General features: G+C 35.5%; 1 long non-coding RNA gene across 1 annotated transcript; it reads left to right on the top strand.

Moving 5' to 3' along the window:
• The first annotated feature begins 530 nt into the window (after window positions 1–530).
• On the top strand, window positions 531–8,873 carry LOC105373448 (uncharacterized). Its single transcript, XR_939759.2, has 3 exons — window positions 531–611; window positions 8,313–8,367; window positions 8,497–8,873. It is a non-coding gene; the product is annotated as an uncharacterized LOC105373448 (long non-coding RNA).
• Window positions 8,874–11,875: the final 3,002 nt, after the last annotated feature.

The following is an 11,875-nucleotide window of genomic DNA, read 5'->3' as shown; positions in this document are numbered from 1 at the left end:
CTGTTCGGCTTCCCAAAGTGATGAGATTGCAGGCATGAGTCACCACATCCAGCCTCAAATGCTTTTTTGTACTTTAATGAGATCATATATTTTTATTAATATGGTGAATGATACTGGTTATTTTTTACATTTTAAATTCACTTTGCATTCATCATATAAACCCCACTTGGTCATGGTGCATTACCCTTCTTATAAATTGCTGGACTTAATTTGCTTATACCGTGTTAAGGATTTTTGAATGTATGATTAGGAGACATATTGGTCTGTAGTTTTATTTTTTAATAATATCCTTGGTTTTAGTATCAGAGTAATGGTGACCACATACTATGAGGTATAAGTATTCACTCTTCCTTTATTCAGTATTTTTTTTTAAATGTTTGACAGAACTTAAGCTGCGTGGACTTAGAATTTTCTTTGTGGAATCGATCATCGTGGCAGACAGGAGGCAGGATTAGATTGCAGCTCTGACTCAGAGCAGCGTGCGGAGGCTCGCATTGTGAATTTTAGCTCCAGATAAACTTCAAGAACAAACCAGCAATCCTGAGAGGACCCACAGACCCTCTGAAAAAAGCGGACTGTTCCTGCAACACCCAGGAGACACCCCAAATACTGTGAGTGACCCAACTGCGGAAGCGGGAAAGGGAGATCCTCCTCTCCTGAACACACACCCCCACTGGAGAAACTGAAGGTCTGTTTGTGGGAGAGGTTTCTGACCTTACCTGGAGCTGAGTCAATTTAGAGGGCCAAGCAAAATACAGGGAGGAAGCAGCAGGTGGGATCTCGCTGGGTTCCCAAGCAAGTCATTCCTGCCTGGCACCACAGGGATCCTCTGGGAGGCAGCCAGAGGAGTAGGGGGAAATCACCACAGGGAAGAAGGTCTCCAGCTGAACTTTGTAACAATTTGAACTGGGCAAGAAGCTGAATCCGGTGTGCAACCTCCACAGGTGGGGGAGGAATCAAGCCCTTGTCTTTCGCAGCTGGGAGGCAGGTAGCCTGGGGCAAGTTCTCAAGACCAGCCTGCCCACTGCCTGGAAACAGACTCAGGGCTGTTGAGGGGGTCATGATGGGAGTGAGACCAGTTCTTTGATTTGCATGGGAGCTGGGGGGAGATCTGTGGCTGCTGATTATCCCCCATTTCCTTGACAATCTGCATGACTCAGCAGAGGCAGCCATAATCCTCCTAGGTACACAACTCCATTGACCAGGGAAGCTCACCCCAACCCCCACAGCATTCACAGCAAGACCCACACAAGGACAGTCTGAGCTCAGACACGCCTAACCCTGCCTCCACCTTCTGGGTCTTCCATATCCACCCTGGTAGCTGAAGACAAGGGGCACAGAATCTTGGGAGCTCTAAACTGTCTAGTTTGGAATAATTGCTTTTGCAAATTTTTTTTTGATTGAATAGTTACTGGGAGTGATTTTGTGGCAATACAAACTAAAAATGACATGGAAACTTTGCAGGGGCAGATTTTCCTAGAGAGGATCAAATGCTTTTTAAACAAAACATCTGTATTCATGGCACATTAGTGACAGGGCTTGAGAACCATGATTTCTTGAACTTAAGTTCTTTTAAAACCTATACCTTACTCAGAGACTAGAGAGAGAACATTCCTTCACAAAATATTTGCAGCCAATGGAAAGACTGGTGTATGACTGAAAACATTTATTCATAATTGAATATTTTTTTTTGAGACGGAGTTTCATTCTTGTCACCCAGGCTGGAGTGCAATGGTGCAATCCTGCCTCACTGCAACCTCTGCCTCCCAGGTTCAAGCGATTCTCCTGCCTCAGCCTTCTGAGTAGCTGGGATTACAGACATGCACCACCACACCTGGCTAATTTTTGTATTTTTATTAGATATGGGGTTTCACTATGTTGGCCAGGCTGGTCTTGAACTCCTGACCTCAGGTGATCTGCCTGCCTCGGCCTCCCAAAGTGTGGGGTTACAAGCATGAGCCACCGCACCCGGCCTTGAATGATGTTTTGATAATGAGACTGAAAATGATTTTACCAGCAAACCAATTAAGATAAATACACATTTATTACATATTAAACATATGGATGGTTCTAAAAAGAATATATATAAAAGACATATGCTTATTGCAAAATTGATGGGGGCAGAAAAACATACACATAAAAATTATGATATTTCCAGTTCAAAAGATATTAAGATAACCATATAGTCAAACCCCTCCTTTAAAAAATTACAGGTTACATAATTTACCAAGTGACAGAGTCAAAACTACATTGCTGGACTTCTCTCTCCAATTCCAGGCAGTTTCAAATTTACTGCCTATTACAGTATAAGATAATGTGCCAGAAAAGTCAGTTGAAGGCTACAGATTGTCAGGTAGTACTACACTTGTTCACAGGATGGGAAGGTCACCATAGGTCGGAGAAACTGGGAAGAGTTTCAATGGGAGCCAACGGCTTGAGCTGGATTAGTTGCAACTCCCCCATCACCCCTGGATGCTTACTCTGGTCAAATTTTTCCATTATCCTTCACTTTTACCTATAATTTACACTATATAAACATATACACCTATATATGCATAATTTATGCTTTCATATCTGTCTCCTCCTGTCCTCTAAAGAACATAAGTTTCACAAGAACGGTAATTTTTGTCTGTCATTTCACTGGTGTGTCTCCAGTGCCTAAAACTGTGCTTGATACTTGGTAGGGGCTTAATGAATATTTACTAAATGAATAAACCCATGAATGAGCACGGAAAATAGTTTCCTAGATTTAAGAATTTATTTATATGGAAAGTAATGAGAGACAATAGAGGCAGAAGAGGTGGAGGCTGGAATTCAAAGAACCTTGAATACTAATGGAAATAATTTGGTACTTATCTTACAATTAGTGGGTGTCATGAAGACAAAATTTTGCTGCTGGTTCTATGAACACATATGGGTTCACATTTATGAAATTATGGTATATTTATTTTATTATAATGAATACTTTTCTCTGAGGTTCTAGGTAATGTAGATGTTTATTTTAATTTTAAGATGTACTGGAAATATTATTTTGCCATGCTGTCCTGTTAAAACACTAGAAAAAAATCTCTGGAAGAGATGTTTTGCTTTGATTTTGTAGATGTATATGCATCCATTTGTAAGTGATTATTATGCACTTTGAATTAACTAATATTTTAGCAAAGTACAGAGTAAGTCCTGTTGTTACTTTTAATACATTTTGCAAAGGTTGCCTTCATGTCTCTGTGGGCCTCAGTCAATTCAAGTTAGAAATTACAAAATGTTTCAACAAGTCTTTCCTACAAAAAGCAATTCATATTTTAATTTTTTTCCTCAGTAAAGATTGTTTTCTACTGCATTTGGTTGCAGAAAGTCTTTAGTTTTATTGTATGATAAAAGCAATCAACAAGCAAATGCAAATACACTGGGAACATTTTGAGGATTTTAATTGTTTGGCTTTAACCTCACAATCTCTTTTTTCCCCATCTGGGGAAACTGGTAATATCCTTCTTTTAATTTCATTGTGTCTGGAGGATATTTTGGATTATTAATTTACAAAAGTTTTTGGCTGATCTCACATAGAACACAGATGCCAGAGGGATACACATTTTAAATAACCAATCCTAATTTTTTTTGTGATTTCTAAACCAATTATAACCCAAAGGAGCAAGAAAGGCCTATTTAAAATCTCAGTGGGCGATTGATACTTCAGGTTCAAGATGGCAGACTGAGCATGCATGTTTTCTTCCTGTGAGGCCCTGTTTTGTACAATCCAATGAAAAGCAAGGCCAACATAATGTGAATGGTGTATCCTTGACTTAGCCAGTATGTTGATCCTACTCAGCTTCCTCCCAAGATCTAGCTCCTTCCTAAGTTCCTATGGTCCTTTTGAAATTGTGTGTGTGTGCGTGTGTGTATTCTATAACAGTGCTGAAAAGCAAGAAAGGATTCTGTAAGTATACCAGATATTTTGCATAATTTTTAAGTTATAGACAGCAGGTAGGACCAGATTGATAAAGGAAATTATAATTTGAAATGGACACAGACAAAGGCAGAAGCCAGTTGCAACGGTGAGAACTGTTTTTACCACAGGAACTCCAAACAAACTCAGTATAGGGTCAGGTATAAATCAAGAAGGTCCTTGGGGCAATTACCAGGGTAATTGAGCAATAATTCTTTGTAGAGGAGCTCCATCTTTACTTAAAGCTACCAGTGGATGGGGTTTGTTCCAAGTCAAAACCCTGAGTAATTTTCTTTTAATGATGATCAAGACAGGAGGCACATAATGTATTAAGGCCAGAGAATAAAACAGAGTGAAGTTTAATAATAAGTCTTGTTCTCCACGGTGGTGTTTTCCTGTTTTATAAAATATGAAATCAGAATTATCCTTGAAATTCAGTTTTCAACTTCATAACTTTAGGAATAAAGTCAGCCCCTTAGTTTTATTTCTTGACATTGAATGTAGGCAATTGTGTAAGATTATCATTTTATATATTTTTCAAAGGCATAGTTGCACTGGAAATAAGTTACTTTAAAACATTTGGGCAACTTTTTTTGGACACACTGGAACAGTAATGTTAATGCATGCAGTCAAATAATAATATTATGAAAACAATCTTAATTTTAATCCTATTAATCTGTGTGACTTTGGGTGGTTTCTATTCTCACATGGATTTAAATGAGGCAAAGAGACATATTTTACATCAATAAAATATACTAACTACCAATAAGATGTAGCAGACTTAAATTTTTATTCATCAAGCAATATACAATTAAAATATAAAACACTCTTACATATACAATAAAAAGGAGACCCAGACAAGTAAAATATACATAAGGTTTTAGAGCATCTGATCAATAATTACTAAACTTGTTTAAATAAGTATATATGTAGATGATATACATTCTTTCAAACACCTATGGAACATGTATAGAAGTTGAACATATGTTAAGCCTCAAAGAAAATCTCAATATATTTCAAAAACTGGAAATTATTTAGGTCAAATTGATTGATCACAATATAGTAAAACTTAAAAGGGCAACCAAAGAAGATTAGAAAGTTAAATAGATATAAGAATACAGCAACAACAATGTTTTCAAATAGCTCCTGGTTAAAAGAAGAAACCACATTGAAATTATAAACTGTTTGGCAATAAGTCATAATAAAGAACAGACTATAGGAAATGCTGCCAAAGATGGTACTAAAAGGAAAATGTACATTAGAATAATATGTTAAAATGATAAAGAATGAAACTAACAAAAATGACCAATATGATAAGCCACAAATACTAGAAAGGAAAAAACTAATAAAGGTAACAAAGTCTTCATGCACAAAAACAAACAAACAAAACCATTACTATGAAAAGATCCATCAATTTGCCTCCACCCCACCTCCCACTCCCCAAAATTACAAACTTCTGGCAATTCCGAAAATGAAAAGAAAGAACCCACCACTCTCCTCTCCCTCCTTGGACTCACATATAATGCACAGCAGGGAGGAAACCACTGATCTGATTTCTATCAGCATAGGTTACTTTTGTATACTCTAGAATTGTATCTAAATGGAATTATACAGTATATACTTATTTTAAAAATGTATCCATATTGTATGTATCAATCACCAATTCCTTTCTATTGTTGAGTAGTTTTCCATTGTGTGACTATACCACAGTTTATCTATGCACCAGATGATGGCTCTAATTAACAAGCTGCTATCAACCTTTTTGTACAGGGCCTTTGGTGGACATATGTTTTCATTTCTTGCAGAGTCACAGGGTAGATTTATGTTTAACGTTTCTAATAAACTGCAAGACAGGTTTACAAAGAGGTTGTACTATTTTACATTCCACCAGCAATGTTTGTGAGTTCCAGTTGCTCTACATCCTCTCCAACATTTGTTTTCACTTTAGCTATTCTTGAGAGTGTAGTAGAAGTTACACTCTCAAGAGCAGCTGAAGTGAATTTTTAATTGGAAAATTTTACATTTCCATTTAATTGGAATTTTTAATTTGCATTTTCTGATGACTGATGATTTTAAACCTTTTTTCGTGTATTTATTGAAACTTTGAAAATCTTCCTTTGGGAAGTGCTAAAATGGTTTTGCATTTGTAACAATGGCAAATTTGGAATGGAAAGCAGAATGTAAATTAATTTTTAAAAGTACAGCTTAATTAAAGAGCCCTCGCTAATATTGACCTTGCTGTCTACCAGGCAATTAGGCACTCTTTCTTCCCTATGAAGTAAATACTATCATTTCCATTTTATTCATAAGAGACTTTTAACTATAACTTGATCAAAAGGGACATACCTAGGAACATTTTTAAAAAGCAAGTTAACATGAGCTCAACTTAATAAAATTGTTAATAACATTGTTTAATGAAAGCATTTAATAGGATCATATGTTTATATGACCCTAAAAGAGTTTAAGCTGTTTGAAATACTTTTATTTTCTGGTTTTATTCATCTAAGTTTGGTCTTATTTATAATTATTCATTTCTATAATTGAAACAAACAATAAGATTCTATTATATATAATAATATTTTGTTTTAAAGTACTTACTACACAATTCTGCTCTTGTAGAAATCATATTTCTGACTGAAGTTCCTATTTAAAATTTTACTAATTATATTACCAATAATATGAAAGAATCAAAACTCATATTACTAAAATATATACCATTATTGTTTAAAAAAACATAAAAATAATGAAGCAGAAGAAAATAAAATACTTTTAAAATTAAAGTCCATTTAAAGAACTAAAATAAAGAACATTAACTTTCTTTGGTAATCAGTGACATAAAAACACCCTGGGCCATGCTTTTGTGAGGATGATATATTAATCATAAGAAACGTTGCCTCAGCCTTGAACCAGAAGGCCCCTTTTTAATAAATTAGTTTTCTGGTGCCTTCTTCTGGATAAAGCAGGCCCAATGGAGAAATCTGTCTAGTGGGCATTAAACAAGTGGTGATGCAGAAGGCACTTTCTTTTATGTTCTGCCTAACTTTTAATCATCAGTCTAAAAGCTTTTTACAAAGCCATTGGATAGTCCCCCGTGGTTAACACAACTATATCAAAGTACAGTACTGTAAAATCTTTCTGAATAGTGCTGGGGTAAGAGGATGGGGACTGAGTCAGGAGCCCAGATATCCTGCTTACCTTCATTAGGATCTGGATAGCTGGATTCACGTTACCAAAACTGACCATGCCTTTCGTGAGTGTGTGTGTGTGTGTATGTGTGTGCCAGTGTGTGTGTGTGTGGTTCCTCTTGTTATACTTTCTGATGTGAGTGAGTACACTTTTTATCACTTTTTGGAGGCAGAGCTCTGTCTTCTCCTAATGACCTCAGGACACTAGTAACAATTATCCTTGACATTGGTATAAAACTCCAGATGTTTAAAAGCCATGTATATTTATGGATTTATGAGCACCTGCTTCCAGCCTTTTGAAGTCAATTTCAGATTTGAGGTAGGTGTCTGAGACCCGAAGAGTACATGGTTTGACCAACGCCATATTACCCAATAAAGTAGAATTACTGGGATTAGAAGCCAGGTATCCTCACTTTTTCCAAAACTGTACCAAGCCCTCAGTGTTAGACAGCCTCTTCTAGTTGAATGCTTTCGTCGTGTGTAGGTTTGGGATTGGAGAATTTATTTGGGAAAAGGCCATTTCTCTGAAGCATTCCAATTTTGTGAAGTACTAAAAAGTAAAATTTCTATCATAAATATACAGCAGGGTACAAAGTGTTTATACTTTTCAACTTATGTAATTTTTTTCTTTTACTTTTTTCTATTTTAACCTGCTAATCATTTAATTTTCATCTCACATCACCAAGATTGGGTAAGTTAGAAGACTAAAATGATACTTTCACATTAACATTTAGGATTTCCTTATTTTAACACAATTTTTGTAAAATTTAGGAAATTCTGAAGCATGAGGACACATAAAAGGAACGTAATGAGTTTTAAAGGTCTATAGATCTGGGTTCTGTCATTTATTAGCTGTTTCATTGTGAAGACATGATTTAACTTCTTTGACTCTTGTTTCTCTCACCTGTAAAATTAGAATAGTAATACCTGACTCAAACAATTGTCAGGATGTTTAAAAGCCATCATATAATTAAAACGTCTAGCATGGTGTGTAGCTTATAGGTTTTCAAGTAATGGTAGCTACTATTAGTATTGTTATTTTTGTTAAGTTGCTTTTAGCAAGGATTTTTTGTCAAGAACACATGCATTTGCATACATTAGAATATCTTTTAAGAGTACTTTGTCTTTGGGTATAATTTATTTGAACTCTTCAGAGTATATTTGAAACATAATTATTTCTTTATCAGATGAAGAATCTGAGGCACAAAGAGGTCAACTGGCTTGCCCAAGGGTACTTGGCAGGTAAGAATTAGGATAATGCTAAGTCTTCTCTTTCTTGGCCAATAGGTGTACACTGTCCCATATGTACTTCCATGTATGCCTATGGAAGAAAATGTCTACCAAATTGATTTTTTTACACATGTATTTTAGGTCTCAAAAACATCTTCTACCATATTGGAACAGAAAAAAATGAAGACAATGAGCATATCCTCTTACACATGACTTCTATTGAAATGTTTCCAAATCTTAAATGCTATAATATTTGCTTTGTTCCTTATCAACTTTTACAAACAAATCTTTAGAAACTGCTTTACAAAAATAATATATGTTCCCATTTATTTATATGTTCATTGCTTACCTCCATTCACTAGAATGTAAGCTCCATGATGGGAGAAATACTGTCAGCATATTTTCATTTCATTGTATATCCTTAATACTTTGAGTAATGAATAGATGAGTGAAACGTGTAGAATTTAGTAAGTATAAATATGCAAAAATAAAACTTTCAATTTAACGTACCCATTTTAAATACCGTATATAGTTTTTTTACAAAAATGTGATAATGCTGTTTTGTAATAAGTTCTTTTTTTAAATTTTAACAATATAAATGAACATTTTTGCATGTCAATAAATATTTGTCTTTTTAAATGTATGGGTAACATTTCCATATACAAATATGACATAATTTATTTTTTGTTGTTGGGCATTTACATTGTTTTCAGTTGCTCTATATTATAGGCAATGCTTCAGTCTTTGCATGTATCCATAACACTTCTCTTTGGCTACATTACTAGAAGTAGAGTTTGCATTTCATGGATTTTAATTACAAGAATTGCCAAGTTGTCTTCCAGAAAGATGCTGCTAATTTGTACAATAAGCAGCATTGTAGGAGAGGGTTCATTTTCCTGAACTTTAACCTCACTAATATTTTCTTTCATTATAATTCATATTGTTATTTTAAAATCTTCACAAATTTGGTAAAAGTGGGATCTTCTTTTATGATTTGCATTAATTTTATTGCAAATGAGCTTTTACTGTTTTCTTATGCTTATTATTTAATTTGTTTTATTAATTTTTCTCTTGGTACTCTTTCTTATTAAGCTATTAATAGGACAAAGTAGAAAATAACTATTTCTCAAATTCTTTTGATTCGTAAGACATCAATTAAAAAAAAAAGAAACCCAAACCAGCATGCCTACTTCATCCTGTGTTGTGAGACATGGCTATGTGTGTCTAGGGTATTCCAGTTTCCCGAAGCATAGTAAGTGGAAAGTGACTTGGTAAAACATAAAAACAGTAAGATGGATTAAAGCCAGACAATGGAAGAGTTAAACTTTATGCTAATGAGTTATGACTTGAATCAGCAGGCAGTTACTATGAAAGAATGTACAATTTAGCCATCCCAAGTTGTTATATCTTGATGAGTGAATAGCTTACTACTTTTGCAGCAATATGTAGTTTTTAAAGTAATTTTTCTGTTAACAGGAAGGGATAATTTGGACAGGGTAGTGGGAAAAAGATCAGCTTAAAGTTTTTCTTACCTTATCTAATTTCTCCCACCCAGAATTAATGCCACTCTCCTTTCTGTTCCCTTGGTACTTTCTTCCATTATAGCACTAGCCACATGCAATTGCAGCACGTAACATCAGTATTATTTCTGTATGCATCTGTGGTGCCTACTCTAAGGCACAGTCCAAAAGGGCCTTTTCTGTTTTGTGTGTTCCCATCCTGCTGAATGGATGGTTTGGTTCAATAAAGTCGTATTAACATCAGAAGACCGAATTGCATTTCTTGTCTTGTTGGCCAGAAAGCTGATTCCTGTCCATGATTACTTGAAATGTGGATTTGGTTTAGCTAATCATATCTTTTCTCATTGTAGTTAACTAGAAAGAAGAAATTACAGTAACAAGTAATTGTTTCTTTATCGTTGTTTAAAAGTTTATTCTGATTGAGGGCTGAAGTGCTTTTCTTACTCTGCCTTATTAAACACCTAAATTTTCTCTTTCAAAATGTCATTTTGTGAAAGGATCAAGAATACTACATAAATGATAGAATCTACTTTATGGCACTGTGCTTGTAGAAATGTTATGCTTAGTTAAAATTGAGATACTCTATATGGGAGGAGAGCTCATATTGATTTGGGGTATATAATACAAAGTAAAATGAGATGATAGAAAGAAACAATGCATAGGAAAGAAAACCTATTGATTTCTCTTCTCTTGAGCATGAACCCACACATAGCTACTCAAATATTTGTGCCTTATACTATTGGAAATACATAACACAAAATAAAATAACAGCCATTATAAATGATCTAGAAAAGGCTCATTCTGAGTAACACAGCAAAGAATTCCTCTTCATTCAACTGTGTCTATTTCTGTAATGTTTTAGAACTTTTTCTCCTAATGTTAGAACTGAGACATTAATAACTAGATAAATCATATATGGAATTAATTGTGTTCCTTCAGAAGCAGCTGCTGGATCACACACCCAGAAATTAATACTTAGCAGCTTAAAATTTTACCTTTCCTCCCTTGATGTGTGACTTTGGGATTCTTACTTAACCCCATTGCTTTCTAATTTGCACATGTATTTGCACATGGTTTTTGCAAATAAGTGTTGAGAATTCAAGTTAAATATGAGAGAGGGATTCAAGTTGTGTTCTTTTTTGAGTTTCTGAACTTCCAGGCTTCAAATTTCAGGCTTCAAGAAAGGTGCTAAGTATGTCTTCCCTAAATATATTATTACCTAACAGTGATTATCTTCCCTCTGTGTATTAAAAAGTACATAGTCTTAGGATTTTTGTCTTTTTTTAACTGTATTTCAGAATGTCCTAGGATTGATTTAAAATGACGCAAATAATCTGTAACTTTTTGTTTGAATAAAGAATTCAACATCTTCATGGTATTACTGTTGCATTTGTGTATAAAGGGAGGAAAAATGGAATGCTCAAGGTGCTCTTCTGACTTAAAAATATCACGGCTGGGCGCGATGACTCACGCCGGTAATCGCAGCACTTTGGGAGGCTGAGGCGGACGGATCACGAGGTCAGGAGATCGAGACCATCATGGCTAACACAGTGAAACCCCGTCTCTCCTAACAATAGCGGGGCGTTTTGGCAGGCGCCTGTAGTCCCAGATACTCGGGAGGCTGAGGCAGGAGAATGGCGTGAACCTGGGAGGCAGAGCTTGCAGTGAGCGGAGATTGCGCCACTGCACTTCAGCCTGCGCGACAGAGCAAGACTCCATCTAAAAAAAAAAAAAATTAGCTGGGCGCCAGAGCGCTTACAGTCTCAGCTACTCGGGAGGCTGAGGCAGGAGAATCACTTGAACCCAGGAGGCAGAAGTTGCAGTGAGCCGAGATCCCACCACTGCACTTCAGCCTAGCAAGAGAGGGAGACTCTGCCTCAAACAACAACAACAACAACAAAAACAACAACAAAAACCACACTAGTATTTATATATTTTAGGAAACAAGGATGCTAATTTGAATATTTTTACCAGAGCAAATATTCCAAATATTGACAAAT

The sequence above is a fragment of the Homo sapiens genome, chromosome 2 (genome assembly GCF_000001405.40).
Source record: "Homo sapiens chromosome 2, GRCh38.p14 Primary Assembly".
NCBI classification, from domain to species: Eukaryota; Metazoa; Chordata; class Mammalia; order Primates; family Hominidae; genus Homo; species Homo sapiens.
The sequence above is the reverse complement of the archived record's forward strand: the minus strand, read 5'-3'. Positions and strand labels throughout refer to the sequence as shown.